General features: G+C 35.7%; 1 protein-coding gene across 4 annotated transcripts in view; it reads right to left on the bottom strand.

Annotated features, from left to right (window-relative positions):
- Window positions 1-21,167, bottom strand: part of GABRB1 (gamma-aminobutyric acid type A receptor subunit beta1) — a 432,801-nt gene that overhangs the window by 262,952 nt on the left and 148,682 nt on the right. For all 4 annotated transcript variants that reach the window (XM_024453977.2, XM_024453976.2, NM_000812.4 and 1 more), the window contains one exon: window positions 2,027-2,247. In XM_024453977.2, coding sequence (XP_024309745.1) covers window positions 2,027-2,247 — 221 coding nt within the window. The remainder of the gene's footprint in view (window positions 1-2,026; window positions 2,248-21,167) is intronic.

Below are 21,167 nucleotides of genomic sequence, written 5' to 3'. Positions count from 1 at the left end.
TGGCAAATTTCTACTCAGCTTCTGGAATATTATTCTCAGGGCCAAAATAGTGAGTGTGTGGCAGATAATAGGCACTCAATTAGTGTATTTTTAATTGAGCAACTTTATCTCTATTTTAATCACCGATACCCCTGGGAGTTAGAAAACTATCCTGAGTATGCAGTTTGCCCAGTACCTAATAAGGCTATATAAGGCACAACTACTTTAGAGAAATATAATTTAGGACTTACTATGTATTGTCATATTGATTAGTTCATAAGATTGTTCCAATAATGAGTAAGGGGGTATTAGCCCATTACTATACAACTGATATACTATACAACTGATAAAACTAAGTCTTAACAAATTTACATAATTTGTTCAAGGTCAAGAAGTCAGAAAATTGTGGAGTTTATGCCCAACCTTGGTCCTCTGACACTAGATGTCATACTTTCTCTGCTATACCTTATGGCCTTTCCAGGATATTGATAACATTTAGGGAAAGGAAAACCAAATCTGTGAGGGAAGAGGAAGTGGGAAAGACAGAGGAAGAGAAAGGGAAGCTATGAGAACTAGTGTGAGGCTCTTACAGAGAAAATTGGTGCCAGAAAAAAGAGTAGGGCATAGATGATAGATGAATGGTTTGTGTTTCTCTTTGGAAAGGTCATTGTCTGTTCGCTAGACAACAAGCTACAAAGAACTGGGTTGGCTCCGAAGGGATTAAAGCAGTGGTGCACAACCTGAAAATAGGAGTTGACTTCTAAGTGCACTTGAATGGCAGTGGAGTGGGAAAAGCACAGGCATGGGAATCAGGATACACGGATTTTAGTCCCAGTTCTGCCATTACCTTATTATTCCCTTATATAAGGTACTTCTCCCTTTTCTGTCTCAGTTTTCCCAGTTGTAAAATGAAATGTATTCAACTTCATGATTCTCAAATATTTTCCTTCCTTTGTATTATTCCCACTGGTAGATGCTGGTAATAATTTGGGAAATGCCTGAAGTGAGACTCTGTAATCTGACAATGTAAACCATATTCTTTCTTGCAAAAAAAATCTAGTTGCTCTTTTTTTTTAAACCAATCAACTTTTTATATATTCTTGACTAATCCATATACTTACACATGTCATGGTTGATTAGCCTATTAAATTGAGTCATGGAATTACTCTCCCAGGATACTTCAGAAGGGTAATTCATCCCTTTACACATTGGGCATGTCTGACGGAAGTTACATTGGTAACAGAAAAATTACAATTGATTTATAGTATATGAACCATAACTAATGATTAACCACCAATCTTGGATTAGTAGGCTTTTTGTTGTGGCTATCAATAGACTCAAGGGAACTGTTAGTTTATTTTACCATTTCTCCCAAAGACTTTTAACTCAGAGATTTTTAACTGAAGTTGAAAGTCCTTGGGGTACAGAAAGAGTGAAAAAATTTCAAAGATCATTTTGCCAAGAACAATTGATGTTATTTTACTGTGCAAATGAAGACCAAAGCTATCAACTAAATAACCAACCACTAGAAATTTCATCACAGATATATATTTTTTTCACTTGTATATTGTTTTGGGGCATTGGTGAATTTAGACATTAATTGTTATATTTTGACCCGTAATTGGATTTTCAGCTTAGTGTTCATGGTACATGGAAGGATTTCAAGGGGCTTATGAACACTCTGAAACAACAGGAAAATTTGAGGCATATATGAGTTTATGAATATATAGGTTTCATCTGTTTCTCAAAAGAATGACTAAAGGTGACACCAAAGAATAAAGAGCCACCACTTTACATATCCTATAATAACAGGTTACAGTTCAGATATTTCCTTGTTAAAACTGGTAGTTAATTTTGATGTGTTGCCTATAATTTGTAAAAAGCCCTTAACTACATGAGGGTTTGTAATAGACCTTCATAAGTATATGACACCCCATTTATATATTCATCTATATATTCTTGCTTCTCTCCCCTTTGCCCACTTCCAAAAGTTTAAAATGAAACAAAACAACAACAACATTAAAACATGCAACATAAAGCCATTTACCGGAGTCCATAGAGAACTGTTCCATCAGGATGCAGTCGAATCATTCGATTTTTCACTGTGACCCCATGCACAAATGATTTCTTGTCATTCAGAAAGTAGGTGTCTGGTACCCAGAGTTGGTCAGCTACCCTATTGTCTAGGGTGAGGTTCAGTGGGATTCCAGAATAAGAAAGCCTTTTGTCTTTCCAAGACTGCTGGAAATACATGGTGAGTGTATAATCCTGTGAAATAAAGAAAGCAAAAAAAAAAAAAGAATTTTACTATCATTATCATCTAAGGTTTAATAACATGTAGGATGTCCTGTAAGAGATTACATTTGAATATATTAAAATTTGCACCTAGAGGTATAAGGTAACCAATAGGTTAAAAGTACTAGGGGCCTGGCACTGTGGATCATGTCTGTAATTCCAGCAATTTGGGAGGCCAAGGCAGGAGAATCCCTTGAGCCCAGGAGTTCAAGACCAGCCTACGGAACGTTATGAGACCTCATCTCTACAAAAAATAATTTTTTTAAAGTTAGTTTGGTGTGGTGGTACATGCTTATAATACCAGCTACTTGGGAGGCTGATGTAGCAGGATCTCTTGTGCCCAGGAGACTGAGGCTGCAGTAAGCCAGGATTATGTCACTGTACTCCAGCCTGGGTGATGGAGCAATACCTTGTCTCTAAAAAAATATATAATTAGTTAAATAAATAAATAAATAAATAAATAAATAATAAAAGTACTAGAACTATACTTGAAAGTATATATAAACATTTCCACCAATATAGAGCAAATAGATGTAATTGAATTTTAAAGTTTGAAGTTAAGGTAATGATGTCATGGGGAAGGCCATAAAGAGAAATTGTACAGAGGAATCTATGTTCACAAACATTGACCTCTGGACATTATATTACAGTTCTGTTTTGGAGAGGAATGCCTGATAAATAATAACTAAAACTGAATGCACTGAAAAGGAAAGGGTGTTTTTCACACCCCAAATTCTTTTGAATGAACACTGCTCGTTTAACACATAAAGGTTATCAATTTGCCCTTATCTGGATTTTTCTTTGAATTACAACTTATCGATGGATGAGTCCTGAAAAGTAGTTATGAGGCACATACAAATGGAGATGTTTATTTGGTCTGAAGACTAACCTCAGTGGTGGCACTATTCAACATTTCTCTCTTACCACATTCCTGTTTCATTTCAGGAAGTGGTTTGAATTCAGAGTTGAAATTGATCTTGAAAGTTTGTTTCTTCACCTTCGCAAAATATTACAGAGGATATCCCCCTGAACTTTTTCTTTCTACTTAGGTTTCCCCTGGCAGTTAGAGACAGGAATATTGGGCTCACTATAAATGGCTCAAGTTGCTGGAAGGGATGGTTTTCCAAATAATAATCTTAGCACTTTAGTTATTTTCTGTTTTTAACAACTCTATTAATACAAGGTAAAATTGCCCATTAAAGGAAAATAAATTGGCAGCAGTAAAATCCTAAAGTCTTTGATATGAATCTCAACATAATAAAAACAGAAAGTTCACTTTTTCTAAGACATTCATATGGCAATAGTGACTTTGTGAATGCCTTAGTGACTATTAAGAACACACTATGTACCTCCTGCACAGTGTTCCTGTACTGCCACTGTTATATATACCAGTGGGGAAAAAGAATGATTAGAATCATGTCTAACATCTGGGCAAACTGCACTTCATATAGACTTCCAAATGGATATTTATGCATTTCTGAAAAATCTTAAAATATAAAACAATATTCATTCCTCACAATGAATTCCAGGGTCTTTTAACCATATTGAAGAACATTTATACTATTTACTCAGAAACCACCTTGCAATAATTTAAAGACATTCTTTCTTGTTTAATAGCAAAAGGATATTCACGTTTGACTGTTAGTCACACAATATCCTTTCTAAAGATATGAAACCTCCTTCCACCTTACCTTCATGTAAAAAAAAAAAAATAACCCTCAGGCTACTTACAGTCCTCAGTTACTACCATTCTCATTTGCATCCTCTACAAGTTCTTAACATTGTGACTTTTTGGAGGAAAATGAATTGGGCAGATTATGGGTTTATATTACAAAACTGCTTGATTTTAAGCTCTACCACATGTAAGCCTAATTATGCGTGAATGACATAATCTCTTGCACCTAAGATGCCTCTTTTTTTTCTTTTCTCTTCTTTTCTTTTAGAGACAGTCTCACTTGGCCATCCTGGCTGGAGTGCAGTGGTGCCATCCTAGCTCACAGCAGCCTCAGATTCCTGGGCTTAAAGAATCCTATCTTTCAGCCTTTCAAGTACTTGGGACTACAGGCATGCACCATCACACCTGGCTATTTTTTTTTTCTTTTTCTTTTTTTGAGACCGGGTCTTTCTCTGTTGCTCAGGCTGGTCTCAAATTCCTGGCCTCAACTGCTCCTCTGGCCTCAGCCTCCCAAAGTACTGGGATTACAAGTGTGAGCCACTGTTCCTGACTTGCCTTATTTCTAAAATGAAAAAGTAGCATTTTACTGGTTTTTTGTGAGCATCAATTGAGAAAATTAAGGTTAAGGTACTTTAGAAACCATAACATGCTAAACAAATAAATTATCTTCAAAATTTTTAATTGCTATGTACACATTAGTATTACACTTCCAAATAGAGTGTGTATGCTCATTTTCATAAGCATTTCTATTTTTAAAGAGATGTTTATATAAGAATTTGTAGGCAGATGGACTCAGTTGGCCATGAAAATAAACAATTGTCTGTAATGAATTCTAAGTCTTGGTGTTGGGTTCTTGTTTATAATTCAGCCAGTATAGGAAAATTAAGTATCAACCACAGTCATAGTGTAAATTTTGCTATGGCAGTCAGCATTGTCAACAATGGAATACATGTGTCAGCTTATACCGATTCCTCATTAGCATACAGATTCTTACGAGTGCCACACAGGATTCCTCACAATGAAACCTGCGGCAAAATCCTTGCTCCACAATTCTTTTCTATAAAGCTTTAATGTGTAATGGTGAAAATATATGATTATAAACTATAAGGGACTATCTTGAAAATTGGTAAGAGTAAATTTTACCACAAAAGAGAAGTATATGAAGTAACACATTGGTTAATTAGCTTTATTTAGCCATTCCACAATGTACAGATATTTGAAAACACCATGTTGTACACAATAAATATACACAATTTTAATTTGTCAACTTTAAAAATGGCAAAATAACACTGAATGATAAATGCTATATTAATACATAGCATTTATTATCATTTACTTACTCTGTGTGGTAAGTGGAGAACAGAAAGGAAAAAACATGGGTAATCCCTGCTTAGACCTCTGTGTGTGTGTGCGTGTATGGGTATAGACTTTTCCCCTTTCCTCTTTGGAAACTATTTTTGTTTCCTGTAGAGAAAGAGCTACATGCCATGTGGTGAAACCTTTGTTATACAACTCATTCTGTTTTCAATACATATTGAGTAAAAATTATATCGTGGTTATAAATTCAAGCAATAATGTACCCAATTTGCTATAGAAGTTATCCAGTGAAAATGAACATATGCTAGCATATTACACCTGTGAGTAGGTAAGGGGGAGCAAGTGCCCTTCACACCTGGTCTTTTAATGCATTTCTGGAGTTAGTAGCCTAATCTAGGACCTGATTCTATGATAAATAAAAATACAGACATATGATATTGATAACCTTAATAAAACCTTTTTGAAGATAATAATAATTGTGATGATAATAATGAACATTATGGAAGGACTAAAATACACCAATTTCTCCTTTTTCTACAATCTATATAAAGCCACATGTATGACAATAATTCCCTTCTCCTGTGGCGTGCTCTGTGCTCGTGGTTCTCATAACCCTTTCATATCTATTATAACATTTGTTCTCACACAAACCTTGTGAGATGGGCAAATTTTCCATGAAAGTGTTTATTATTTGCAAGTCAGAGAAACTACTTATTATATTTTAAACAATTTTTTTATCCGTCCCTTAATATAAAGGTTAACAGTGACATCTGAATATAATAAAGCCTATGACTTCGTTTTGGTGGATTCTATTTTTAGGTAGAAAAGAAAGCCTCTAAATTGCTGTATTTTTGTTCTCTTACACAACAAGTTTTCTATTAATTCTTCATTAGTCCAAAGTGCAAGCACTCCAGAGAAGATGGGACATTTTTCAGAAAGAAATTAATGCTCTTTGGCCAACAGCATTAAAATTACTTTCCTTCTAGGTGAGTTTACAAGTGTTCCACCATCTTTCTCAAGTGTGCAAGCTATTTCTTGAGAGAAAGTGTGACATATTTAGAAACTGTGGGCCATAGGGAATTCTTTGACACCGAGGTAAGTTAATGTGATTAATGGATATGAGCTTGCTAATAAAATTAGTTGGGCTAATTCAGGCATGACAGAATTTGACTCATTGAGGAAAGGCAAGATAGACAATACCAAACCAGTAGCACTCAATGAAACTCCAAAACGACATTTTAAAAAATTTATTTTTATTTTTTGAGATGGAGTCTTGCTCTGTCACCCAGGCTGGAGTGCAGTGGCATGACCTCGGCTCACTGCAACCTCTACCTCCCAGGTTCAAGAGATTCTCCTGCCTCAGCCTCCTGAATAGCTGAGATTACAGGTGTTCACCACCATGTCTGCCTAATTTTTGTATTTTTAGTAGATGGGGTTTCTCCATGTTGGTCAGTCTGGTTTAGAACTCCTGACCTCAGGTGATCTGCCCCCCCTCGGTCCCCCAAAGTGCTGAGATTACAAGTGTGAGCCACTGCGCCTGTCCCCAAAACAACATATATATGTTTTTTTTAAAATCTAGAGATGATTAAAGGTATAGTATAAGAAAATTATGTTAAACAAAAGTCACTCTTTTGGAGAATAAAGGTAACATTCTTCCTAGATTTATAGTTTTAAGGACAGGCTGATTTTTCCCTCATGTTAGGTACATTTAGCAGTGACTGAAAACAGTTTTGGTTGTCACCAGTGAGATTAGTGGTGTGCTACTAGCATCTGTGAGTAGAGGCCAGAGATGCTCCTTCACTTACTACAATGCACAGCACAGGCCCCCATAATAAAGAATTGTCTGGTTCAAAATGTCAATAGTGGTAAGGTTGAGAAACACTGCATTACATGAAAATATCTCTTTTTATCACTAATCATCAGAGAAAAGCAAATCAAAACCACAATGAGATATCATCTGACCCCAGTTACAGTGGCTTTTATTAAAAAAACAGGCAGTAATGGATACTGGAAAGGATGTGGAGAAAAGGGAACCCTTGTATACGGGGAGGAATGCAAAGTACAGCGACTACAGAAAACAGTATGGAAGTTCCTCAAAAAATTGAAAACAGAACTATCACGTGATCTAGCAATTCCACTGCTGGGTACATGCCAAAAGAAATGAAACAATATATCAATGAGATATCTGCACTCCCATTTTTATTGTAGCATTAATCCATAATAGGCAAAATATGGAATCAACCTAAGTACCTATCAATGGATGAATAAAGAAAAAGTGGTTTCATATATATATATATATATATATATATATATGAAAATACCTCTTTTTAGTATGAGTAAAAGATTTAAAAATGTTTTACCATTGTTTATCATGAAAAATATGTGTATGAACATGCTTATCTGGAGATTTTAATGTATCCTTCAAAACTTTATGCTAGGGAAGTCTGACATAAGATGGTTTCTAATTTGCTATTTTACCATAAGAAATCATTTTATTAAAATCCATTAATTATCTAGCATTTGGAATAGGAAAAACAGCTATGCACTGTAGGCAAATATGTTCAAATATGTTGAGGTATGTGTTTTACCAGAATGAGATCTAAGAAGACATCACAGTGAGCTGCAAAAGTGAGGGTCCCTTGTTCACTGCCCCCATAGTCTGCACGTCTCAGACTATGTTAGGAAAGAGACAGGATATTTCTTTAACATCTAGTAATAGAGCATCCACTCAAAAGGATCATTCAAGCAATTCCTCCTTTTCTAACTATTCTCAAGAAAGGCATTACATGTATTTTTGTAATATGTGTGTATATCTTTTGGGGAAAGAACCAAAGCCCTTGTTCATATTTATGTTTTATCTTTCATTGATTTTAATATATATTAAAAGCAGTCCCAAGTACAGGCCTCTGTTCCCCGTAAAATATTCATGCCAGTTTAGCTGAGCTCTGAGATCTGCCCTTCGTAAAACTTGGGCTGCTTCCCCGGAAAGCCTATTAGAGTAGAGCTGTGCATCACTGCCTATGATTTCCGCAGTTCTTCTGTGATGGAGACTGCCTGCCTGTAATTCCTGCTGCTTGAACAGAGTCACATTCTATCTCACATGAGGCCGCTCTCCTCCCATCTTTGGAATAGGAGTAGATACCTGATTCAAGAGCAGTTGCTTCACAGGCAGTCAATAAACATAAGCCTGGCTCGAAAAAGTTGAGATGGACCAATCAGAGTCCTTTCTCAGGAATTTGCTTGTTAGACAAAGGATCTGAGGCAGGAGTTGTGGGACCAAGTGCAAAGATACAACTAAGAATTAGGGCTGCACTGCTATTATGAGGTTACAAGAGAGGAGAGACTGTGAATCAAAAGAGGAAGCTAGCCTGTAGAGAAAGAAAGAAAATGGAGAAAAATGCAGAAAGTAGCCATAAGGGCAGAGTTTATTGTTAGAGAGTGAATGAACAGGTTCACGAAGACTGTCTACTTCTGTTTCTAGTTCTCCTGAGGTCTGAACACGTTCAGTGCTTTAGCTCCTTGTGATCTCTCTTTGGTATCCTGACACCAAATTCCACTTTCCTTGTGCTAATTTGCTCCCATCTTTATTGCCTCCAACCAGAAAAAGCTGTAGTAGTGATGCTCATCAACACACATATCAGAATCTCATTACCAATAATTGCATACATTAAAGGCCAAGGAAACCTCAAACAATCATCTAGCCCACCTCCCTGAACTGAAAAAAGGGAGGTATGCTGAGAAATCTTAGACCTAGAGATGTTAAACGACTTTTAAAAAGGGAGAAATATTTGATTTGGGTTTTGTTTATTAACCAAGACAGCAAGGAAGAGAAGAAATACATATTTACTTGCCAGCAAAAGAATTCCCTATCAAACACAATAAAAATAAATTACCAGGACAAGTCACCTGTATATACTAGTATACATGCCAGTAAAAAGAAACGCCCCTTAGGATAAGAAAAAAAAAAAAAAACAACCATAATTTGTATGTGACAAAGACATTCAGTGAAAAATGGCCTGATAAATAAACCAATCTAAACCATAATTGTAATCAACCACAAAACACCTGTTTCTAATAGAACCTTCTGTCTAAATGAATGTTTTTCTTTTCACTGTCACCATTAAGTACATTCTAAAGCAGAAATTCATCACTGTATCCTTCAGGTTTGCTGTTAATTTCTAATCTTTTATCTTTACATCATCTAGTGTTATGTTAACTATTAATATGTGTTTGTTGTGCTTATTCCTTAGTCTTGTTTTGTTATAATACCTTTAAAATACATGCATTCTTTATTACCATTGTTGCTAAAGTCCATGTTCTTATTTATTATTGATTTTTCCCAGCTGTAGCCTAGTGTGTGCTTCAGGGAACATAATCTTCTTTTACCTTTGTCGCATCCTAAATAGCCCCATTTGGTCTACCCAACTGTGTAGTCAGACTTTTTGTTAGTCTTGTGTTCTGAAAAATTTTGAAATTAATCAACCCAATGACTGAACAGAGTCATGTAGTTGTGATGCTACACTGAATGATAATCATCTAAGAAAATCACATGGAACACATTTTAATACATGGGGCACATATGACACTGATATGCCAACTGGAGTATGGATTCCAATAAAATGAACCGCATGGCATGAGACTCAGTATATGAAACTCTGAGCCTGTACTAATATAGCACAGAGTTTTAGCATTCTTAATCTAATATCTACTCTTAAAACTATAAAGATCCATTTTTTAAAAAAATGTAAAAATCTTTTTTGATGATGAATCCAATTTCTTTAAATAGATATGATAAAATTTACATTTCACACAGTGACAGCCTAAATGGCTTACATTCAAGAATCTAAATAATCAGAAGCTCAAATAGTTTTTGTTGTTTCCATGGTAAGATATAGTTAAATGTTGAGCCTGAAGTAGGGAAAGTTTTCTAGAAACTTCCAAGTCAAAATATTTTAGCTTGTTAGAATGGCTAATTCATTCTTTCAACTTTTAATGGTTGTTTACTATATTTAAACGATTGTATTATGCCAGATGCTGAGACATAAAGGCTGACTGGTATATGTTCTCTGCCTCAAGGAACTCATAGGCTAGTGGGGGAGACTTAGCACTGCTTATTTCCAGGCTTTTCCACTGTTCTCTGCAGGCTTCTCAGTTCTTCCATCACCTGTGTAACCAGCTCCGTGCGTGAAATTCCCGTCACTTCAAACTCTCAGAGAACTCAGAGTGGTTCCACTTTTCTTTACTGGCATCTGCCCAGTAAAGGATACAAAATGATCGAGTAGGAGGATATCAGTTTAATAAGTGCTTGCATTAGCCTAGAGAATAGATAAATCAGAGTTGACTTAATACTCCACTAAAGGAAGGTGAAAGAGAGGAAAACTGTGAGTTATTTAAGGCAGCACTTGGTGACCTTTTAATATGGGAGGTTAGGGAGAAGGAGGCACCAAAGGATGGCCACCAGGTTTCTGACCTGAGTAGGTAGGTAGACTACGATAAGAAGAGTTGAAGATTGGGGGCTGAAGATGGCTAATTCATCTAAGATGGGTTTGTGTTGTGGGTGTCAGTGGCGCATGCACATAGAGGTGCCAAATAAGTAGTTATGGGTCAGAATATAGGAAGACAGGGCTCAAGGAAAAACACAGCTATGTGACTCATGAGTGACAGATGAAGTTGTGGGAATGGATTAGCTCACCATGGAGAGAGCATAAGGTGAGAAGAGGATAGAGCCCCTGGGAAATTGGATTCTAGGATCAGTCACTCACTCTTTTGAGCTCCCACAACTCTCTTCTACTTTGATTGCAGCACTTACCCTATTGTTTTAAAATTATTTCTCAGTCCCACTAGATTCTGAGTTCCTGAAAGGCAAAGTTTATCTTTCAGGGCCCTGGCATAGTGTACAGTGGATAGCAAATGATCAAATGCATCAGTTGAATGTGAATTAAGTGGTGTCATGTGTTTGGGGCACTCAAGATCAGCAATAAGTGTGTTAGTGCTGTCATCTTATTACATTCCAAATTTCTGAAAAATTGTTCATCCTTATAAAACATAAATGGAGACTTTCACATAACTAAAATAATTAATAATCCAGAATTTCCATTCTCTAACAACTCAAAAATGAATGAGTCTATAATTCCTGAAAACATAGAGAATTGACAGATTTCCAGGAGATGACAAAAGCATATGGCAAAAGTAAAATTAAGTTAAAAAATTTACTCTTTAGAAATGAATTAGTAGTGACTTTATACAAAATATTAATAAATATATTTTGAGATATGTCAAAGTGATATTTTATTGATTGTTCCAGCAATTACTGTCATCAGTTTGATAGTATAAGGCTACTTGTACTAAAGTTTTAAGAACTGATCTCTATTCAGTGAAATTTTGGGGCTTGTTTACAAGTTAGTCAATAATCAAAACAAAAAAATTAAATTGATTAATTCATCAAGATAATGATTCATAAACTTCACTCACATTTTTAAAACCACATAATGGAATATGACACAATAGATTTTCTGTAAGTTCCTTAGTTCCAGAGGTTCATAGGATATTAGTGTTTCCATTTTTCTCAATATCTAAATAAGAGCAGAAATAAAATCAGATGCATGGAAGATCTAATCGGATATTCAGAATATGGTGGTTTTGGCTGACTATCCTTAGGTGGACTATGACTACATGACCAGAATGGTAACCAATATGTGGTATGCATGGTAACCCAAGAAAGCAAAGCTAGTTATGAAGCAAGCTAAATTGAGAAAGGATATATGAATCTGAATTAAATCAAGTTTATATCAAAACCCACATTACTTTGAAGAAATGAAGAAATTAATCTATCATTTTCTATCCTTGGAAGGCAGTCTTATGATTTGTGATTTTGTAATAAGTACAGAGCTTAAAAGGGAGAAATCTATAGGAATAATTCTAGGTCTGTACTGTTTTGTTGGAGGAGAAAGAGGTTTTAGGAACTCTTGACTGAAAATAGAGTGGAAAAGGATTCAGTAATATTCCTTCCAAAAATAAAGCAGTTCTGATATCCCTTAGAACTTTTAGTTACCTTTCCAGTAAGGACTCTATTGGGCCCATTTGGAAACCTTAATATCAGATGTTCTAACAGAAAGAATGATTTTTATCAAATTATCCATCAAATTCTCATTCTAAAAAGACTAATGGTAATAGTCTCTTGATAGTCCCTGGGGAAGTCTTAAAATAGAATGAATAGCCTGATTATAATGCCCAAATGCCAACTTTACCACATTATCTCTCTTGCCACCTTCTCTGTCTTCTGTATACCACCTTGTATTTTAAAAATTTACTATTCAGAGACAATCACTATCAACATTCTGGTGGTTTTCTCTCTCCTTCTACTTAAAAAACAATAAGATCATTTTATATATAATACTTTTTAATCATATGCATTGTTACTTTTTTCACAGCTATTTGTTTAGTCATTTATTTATTTTTGTCTGTTTATTGCTTATCACCTCTCCTCCTCTATCCTACTTCCTTTCTCTAACCAATTAATAATGTGGTAGGCAATTTTGTGTATTTTTGCTCATGCTTATAACATTATGTGTGTGTGTGTGTATATATATGTGGCTTTTGTCATGTATTGAAAAGATAGTATATATTTATTTCTGTAATCTTTCCTTTCTTAATGACACAGCACAGAAATTCTCCAATTAAATGAGTAGAAATATAACTCATTTTACTTAATAGCTACATACTATAGTATGATATGAATATACTGTTAATTATTTAATCATTATTCTATTAATGCTCATTGCAGTTGTTTTAGGTTTTTTACAACTAAAACAATTCTGCAACGAATCTCTTCTACATCTCTCTCTCTCTCTGTGTGTGTGTATGTGCGTGTGTGTGTGTGTATGTGCGTGTGTGTGTGTGTGTGTGTGTGTGTGTGTGTGATGGATTCTCATATCCTATCTCAGTTAGCTCACTTCATAGATAGCTTGGCTTTTGTCATGCTCACCAAACATGCAAAATGAAATAACTGTGTGCGTGTGTGTGTGTGTGTGTGTGTGTGTGTGTGTGTTGTGTGTGTGTGTGTATAAGCATAGGTACTGGTACTAAATTACATTTTTTTTCTTTGTACGATGCCATGTTCTGGAGCTCAATATTATAATTTGCTAAAGTAAATAAAATAAGACCATAGCCTGCTCCTTTGGAACCATCATTTTCTAAATATTTAGCTAAACCCAAATGTGTGAAAAGTCTCAAGTAAGGCCTTAAAGTCAGGTTTACAGAGCCACATAATATCCATATTGACCATCTCCAGTGGCTCGAACTCATTGAGCATCTGTTCTAACTTCTGTTGGTCTTTGACTGAGTCTGGATAGAAGTGTCTTGGCAGACATTACTTGAGAAAAGGATTTTTGGCTACTTTATACTTCATAATGAGAAAAAAAGAAAAAGAAAACTCTAGAAATGTCTTTGTGAGTGAAGAAAAAATGATTTGAGAATATTAAAGCAAAAATTTGGATAACCTTAGTTTTCCTCTGATGTAGCTTTATAATCATCCTTGGGCCTGTATCAAACATACACATCTAAATGAATTAAGGATATAGACTGGACCTAACTAGGAAAGAAACCTCCATACTAATGGCATGGGAAAACAAACTGAGCTATCAACTAAGTCTTTGGCTAAAATAGACATTCAGTATAATAATGACATGTGGCATTAGGAATTGGCAGACTTGGAATCTAATTTAAAGACTCATTGCTTATTAGTCCTATGATTGTAGAGAAAATTTATCAACTACTCTGAAACTCAGTTTCCTTATTTGTGTGATCAGCAGGAACACTATATAATGAGACTGTTGGGATGATCAATTGAAATACTGTATGTAATAGTCCTAACAAACTTTAAAAACTATAATTTAATAAATAAGAAAAATCAAGTAGCCTAAAATATGTTACAGAACAATGCAGTTAATAATACACATTTTCATTCTTTTTGAGTAAATGATCAATTTTGGACCCCTAAATACTTAATAATAATTTCTGTCTGTTTCTGAACATTTAACTGTATGATCAGCATTTTACCGGGTGCTTTCCCTATGTTATATTGTTTATAACAATATAAAACCACCATATAGAGTTGGAGTTAATATCTTCCTTTGATAGGTGAGACTGAGTTTAAGGATGCCCTAAGTGCCTCTTCTCAAAAATATCACAGCTGTGATTTGAACCCTGATCTGTCTGACTCTATGGGCAAAGTTCTTTCCACTGTATCATATAACAAGCATGGTTTAAGCATGTGCCGCAAGCACAAAAGGTTTTCCTCCTAGGACATAGCTTTTATCTGTTGCCCAAGGCTGACTTCTGCCTTGCTTTCTTATGGATGGCAATTAATCATTAACATTCAGTTCGTGGGTAGATTTTCCAGTTTTCTCTGATGTTTTATCCATGAATTCTCCTTCATCAGCCAGTGATGCTGATGAACTCTGCTGCCATGATGTCCTCTGTGTGTGGTTGATACTAGATACAAATCAATTGTTCATCACTGCCCTGGACAACTTTTCAAATGTTAGCCAAGGGAAGGCCAGCATTTTTCTTCCACAGTGATCCTTAAGGAATATGGGGAGTGGAATAATTTTCTTTTGGTAAGATGGCTTCCCCTTTAAAAAGTCTGCCAAAGTATTTTACCGCTTCTCAGTAAAAACCTCATTAATCATTAGTTATAGTAGCAACTATATTTCCCTTGCTAGAAATTATTTGTAAGTGACAGTAAGTTAAAAGGCAAATATTGTTATGTGCTTAGAGGCTAAATGTCTCTTAATTTACATTGTGAGTCCATGACGACTCTAGGATAAAGGATGAGCGTAAACTTATTAAGAGAAGGGGCTGGTGCACTTTACTTCTATGACCCAGCACCACCAAGCTGACAGAATGCCAAATAAAGGAACTATCTCTGGCCCAAAATAGAATTATGCCCACCCACCTTTAAATCGGGTCCTCCATCTCCACCCTCATTCTCATTGACTGGTACAATCAAACACTCCATTGACCAAACCAGAACCTAAGAGTATTTCTTGACTCTTTTTCTCTTCTGGCATTTCTGTTTCATTAAAATGTTTCTTTATTCTGTCTATACTTGCTACTATCTAGTTTGGTCTTTATCACTTCTCACCTGATTTACTATAATAAGCTCCTAAGTAGACTTCTCTAGTCTTGTTCTTCCCTAATCCATTTGTTATATGGCAGGTAAAATGAGATTTCAATTTTTAAAAAATTGCAAATATGATCATGTTGCTCCCAAGGTTAAATTTGCTGTAGCTCCTCAATGTTATGAGAATAAAAATACAAATTTCTTAAGGGCAGACAATACCTTCCTCTGTCTCTATCTTATCTCTGCAGTCACACTTCTTGCTTGTTTCTTTTACTCTATTATCCAGCCACCTTGGTCTTGGTTCCTCCAACATACCTCTTGTCTTGCTATAAAATCTTCTTGGTCTGGAACACCCATTCCTCCTGTCTTTCCCCTTTGCCTTTGCCTAGCTAAATCGTATTGAACAGGCCTTAGATTGGAAATGGAGCTACACCCTCTTCTCCCATGTCAGGAGCCAGGAAGTCTGGGTTTGGCCCTTCCGACGTGCTCCCACAGTAGGCTGTCATCATGGCCTGCATTGCTCTGTGTGGAAATTAGCTGGGTGCTCTTTTATTTCCTCCACTAGAACCTGGGCTTCCCAAAGGCGTAATTCTCTTGCTACATCCTCAGTGTTGAGGGCAGGGCCTGCCGTCTAGTGGATGCCCAAACTACTATTTGCTGAATAAGTCAATAAATGGATTGGAGTCAGGAAAATCCAAAGATAGACATCCCAGTTAAGAAAAAATTAAAAATAGCAGTGGAGGTGAAACACTCTATTAGTCTGAATGAAGGCAGAGGAATATGAGGTTGTATAAAATAAGGAGGAAAGGAAAAAAAGAAAGGAAATAGAATGGACTTAAATTGGTTGCTGTGGATATGGGAGATGAAGAAAAGAATGTAAATACTTGAGGAGGACCAGAATTTAAAGGAATGAAATATTGGATGTTAATTTAAAGTGCTTGAAGTAGAGACATAAATGGTAAAGGATAAGATGTAAATGATGAGTAAGACTTACTTTTAGACTATATTATCTTATGTATTTAAAATTTATTTTTAAATACATTTTAAATGTGCCTTATCCACTCTCTAGGGTAGGTATATGTTTCAAAGATAGGCATCAGCAATAAAAGTGGCCCAGAAAAAGAAACTGCCCTAAATAATTTATCATTCAACCAATCAAATTCCTAATTAAACTGAATAGTCACACTAACACATTTCTCTTTATGACATTAAAAGTTATCAATTTTGTCACATTCTAAGTTTTACATTATTTAACAATTTTTCTAAAAATATTGCCTTTAAGAAAAGTCACGCAGAAAACTCGGTTTGCTGAGAATGCACCTGAGGATCTAGAAAAGTGGGTTTTATATCTTTGGCAAGACAAAAATCCCAGAAAGTGAGCTCTTCTGTCTAGCAAAATGAGTAGATTGACCTGTATCAACAATTCTTACACTCAGTGTGCATAATTATCACCAGGACAACTTGGACAGTCCTGAAATTTACATTTTTGGATAGATGCCTCCACGGAGATTATTACGCTATTAATTCTCATGTCATTATTGGGGAATTAATTTGAGAGTGGCCTGGAATTCCCTAAGGGTTCTTCAGAATCCTAAATGAGCAATGTCTATGCTTTCATTAAGCCTAGAAAATCTGTTCCTGTCTCCATTTATAATGTCATTTCATATTTTATCAATTTCCTCGTATACTTTCTTTCTACTGCAACAAAGGGAACTTAAGCCTGAAATTTTCTCTTACTGTTGCTCTACAAAGACGCATTATCATGACTACCAAAAAGAGGAAAAGGGGGAGAGAGAGGGGGAAAAAAAGAAAGGAAGAGAGAAAGACAGAGGCATTTATTATCTTTACTTTCTGGTACTTTATGTTCCCCTGTCTTTTTGACTTGCTTACTTCTGGCTCAGCAAATTTTTTTTAAAAAATGTAAATTCTGGAAGATACAGAAAATTGAATCCCAGCTCAGACATGAGTGGAAATCAAGGTTCAGCAACGGTGTGACCGCTAAAGTGATACCTGCAAACATAATGCAGAATTTTATTTTTGAAAAGCAGCTTGAGTTGCCCCAATCTTCCACACTATGTCTGTGCCCATTTCCCTATCCTGAAGGTGGGAGAGACTGAAGGACAAGAGACACCTTGTATAGAAATAAAACGGAGAGTTTTAAGAAGAAAAAAAAGGCTGTGCTGATGCATTTTTTTCATCTGCATGGAGCAATGTGTATTTTGGTACAGTGTTAAGAATCCTCGAGCAATTTCTCTCATGTCACAAGTTTAAAGAGTTATCTATGAATGAGTCAGCCTGGGAGTTGCTATGGTAACGATTCTCATCCTGTCGGAGCCAGTCCCCTTCTGATGTTACCACTGAAAAATACCTTGGTTTCAGAAGTATGTGAAGTTCCCCTTGCATTTAAATATTCATTATGTTATATATGCATTCCCTGATTTTGCAAGATTACCTGACTAGAAATCATTTTTAGTGCCCTATAAATAGACATGCTATGTCGTGTTCCTTTCTTCCACAAGATAAAAGATAAATTCCTGTACTCACAGAACAATCTCTCTCTCTCTCTCCATTTTCTTTCTGGGGCGATAAGTTTATGCATGTGCGTGTAATCAGTGTCCTTCACATTTTAGTATTTGAAGAAGACACTCTGGACAGCAATCATAAGCCCCAATTTTCAAAAGAGTAGTTGAAAGTACTTGTGGGCTTGCCACACTGCAAGTGCACATGAATGTAAATGATCCTATAGTTTAGTGTGGAGTCACTATGGGCAGCATTTGTGTGGTTTACCAATTTATATCCCAGGAAAGAGCTGCCTGGCAGAATGAAATTGCGTGTAGCTGCCATAAGTCCAAAAAAGGAAGTCCAGACTCTTCTTTGACAAGAAAGGTTTTCAATAATCTAGCTCAACCTACTTTTCCAACATCTTTTCCCCCTTGGCTACCTGCTCACTAAGGCATACCTGCTGCAGATACAAAGAGATACTCAATATTTCCTTAACATTCTTGCCTTTCCCATATCTTTTAGGTTGTATTTTTTTTTCTGTTCTTGAAGGTCAAAATTCTACTTATCTACAAGTCCCAAGGGGAGTCAAGTTTATTCAAAGCCTTTCCCAATCCCCACTCCAAATCAAATTAATCTCCCATTATTTTACAGTTTGTTACTTTGTTAATGTCTCTCTCCTGTAGCATCATACATTCGGCTTGGCATGCGTGGTCATGATCTAACTATTCATCTGTTTCCCAACTCTATACTCTCAAAGGTGTAGCCTATGTCTCCATTTTTTTTTTTCTGTGTATATGAGGCAAGCATGACACACTGTTAGTTGTGATGGTTTCCCTAAAATCCATTGCTGTGCTGTGCTGTTAGAAACTGTAACAATATAGTATCATGATGAGAGTATAAGATTTGGTGTCAAATCAATCTAAATTCGATTCCAGTTTTGTCTATAATGAGTTCTGTCACCGAGTCACTTAACCCCTTTGAGGTTCAGTTACCTTATCCATTAAATAGAAATTTAAATAATGTAATAAAGAGCTTAACACAGCACTTGGTGTACAATTATGTGTTCAACAAGTAGTAGTTGTTACCACGGCAAATATAACTCAGGGACACTGAAAGATGTTGCTTTTTCTCAATTGTTCTCACATTACCACTTTTGTGATTGGTATATGAAAGACCCCTCTGAAGTTATGACATGTCTGCAGCTACATTTTTTTGTACATATTTGACCATACTTTGGTGCCTTCAGAGGGAGCACAGCTTTGCTGACAACTTAATTTTTAACTTCTGACCTCCAAAACTCAGAGGGAATAAATTTCTCTTGTTTTAAGACACTTTGTGGTAATTTATTAGGGCAACCATAGGAAAATAGCTACCTCCTAAAGTTGTTCTTTTGAATTTAATCTATAGTTTTGGATATTCACAAACATTATCAGTCACTCAGTCAACCTTATCATTTGGCACTTCTTCTTATCTGTAGCATTTTGGTACTTAGCATTTAGATTCTTGAATTTTTGGTCCTGTGCACAATACAGAATTTATCATGCCCCTTCCTTTAGTGTGGTTAAGGAGAAACAACAAATACATATCAAATACCATCAATGAAAAGTATTTATACATATATTTAGAAATACTTTTTCAGCACATATTTTGGAGTAGAGATAGTTTTAGGTGCTGAGGATGCAACAATAAACAAGACAGAAAACTTCTCTATTCTCAGTGAGATTCCAGAAAAAGACAATAGCTAGTTCCAGGCCATACAAAAGGAGCAATCATGGTGGGTTAAAGGAGCAAAAAGGAGGCCTGACATGTATTAAGCATTTCAACAGGTGTGAGCTGCTCTACTATTATTATTATTAATCACCCAATCAGTGTTTAAGCAGAATATTTAGAATGTGGTGACCAAAAGAGAATGTTAGATTATTTTTGAATATGCAAATACAAATAACCAAGGTACAGGATCAATCTGATCCAGCTATAGAGAGTTGAATGACAAAGCACCTCCAAAACACTTCTCCATCTAAGCACCATGCAGTACTCACACGATTTCTAGAATTCTAGGGAAACCACAATAATAAATGAATATGTTCAGTCTTTTATCTCTGTGGTTTACTTTAAAATCTTTCTCTAGCAGTGTTTGTGTGTATGTGTGTGTGCCTGTTCCTCCTGTCAAGATAGAGCAATCCTCAGAAACACTTGACATTTTGGGACGGAATGTCCTAAAAGGGAAGGAAAATAATACCGGGAAAGAAAAAAATGAAGGCCACCACTAAAGACACATTTTATACAATCTACAAACTGCCTGAAGTCAGCACTGCTGGCAGGACATTGCTCTCTCAGTGGCATGTTAAAATAGAGAAAATGTGGAATTCTTTTTGATGATACCCTCAGCTTCCTGTTCTGACCTGGCAGTCACCAGGTGGAGGAAGCATTTTAGCTTCCTGTTCTTATTCCGTAGTATCATAGAAAAGTCATACCAGAATACTGCTGCTAAAAGTACTGGTACAAACTTTCTGAGTGTAGTTCACAGCATATTTTAAGTTTCGTTATTAGTTTCATATTTCATTATAATGAAAAATATATCCACAATTCTGGCTCCAAGCAGGATGGTCAAAGAAATCATCCTTTTCATGAGGACTAGGTGAATATGATTGCAGAAATAATTTCAGTGGAAGGAAATTAATAAAGAAGAAACATATTTGTTTCGTAATATACATACAGTGCTAAAAAGGATACTGAAAATCACTGATTCAAGTGGCAATTATTTACTTTTCACATCCCAGGCACATCTTGGTCATGCATTCACTTGGGTATCTTCCTTGATCTTGTCTGTTTTTCCTTTGTCTATGCTTCCCACATCCTATCAATTACCAATTTCCTTCATTTATTACTTCTAAATTCAATTCAGATGTATCCCCCTCACTCTTACTGATCTTAGTTAAGGCCACGATGTACTCTCTTCTGAATAACTATATAATTCTAACTAATTTGTCTGCCTTCAATTCACTTACCCCTCCAAACTCATTTTTCACATCGGGTTGGAGTAATCATGTTATAAAACAAGAATCTGATAATGTCGCTTCTTTGCTTAAATGGCTCCTCATGGATCTCAGGATTAAATTCAAATTTGTCAACATGCTTTTTCAGACCATTTATGATCTATTTATATGCCTAGCCACATCCCTTATTTCTGTCCCTATCTTGAACTCTCTTTTATAGCCATAAAATCTTATTTGTCTTTTATTCAAAGGATGCTGTTCTTCATAAGCATTCTCTTAG

The sequence above is a fragment of the Homo sapiens genome, chromosome 4, assembly GCF_000001405.40.
Source record: "Homo sapiens chromosome 4, GRCh38.p14 Primary Assembly".
NCBI lineage: Eukaryota > Metazoa > Chordata > Mammalia > Primates > Hominidae > Homo > Homo sapiens.
This window is presented reverse-complemented; position numbering and strand designations above follow the sequence as displayed.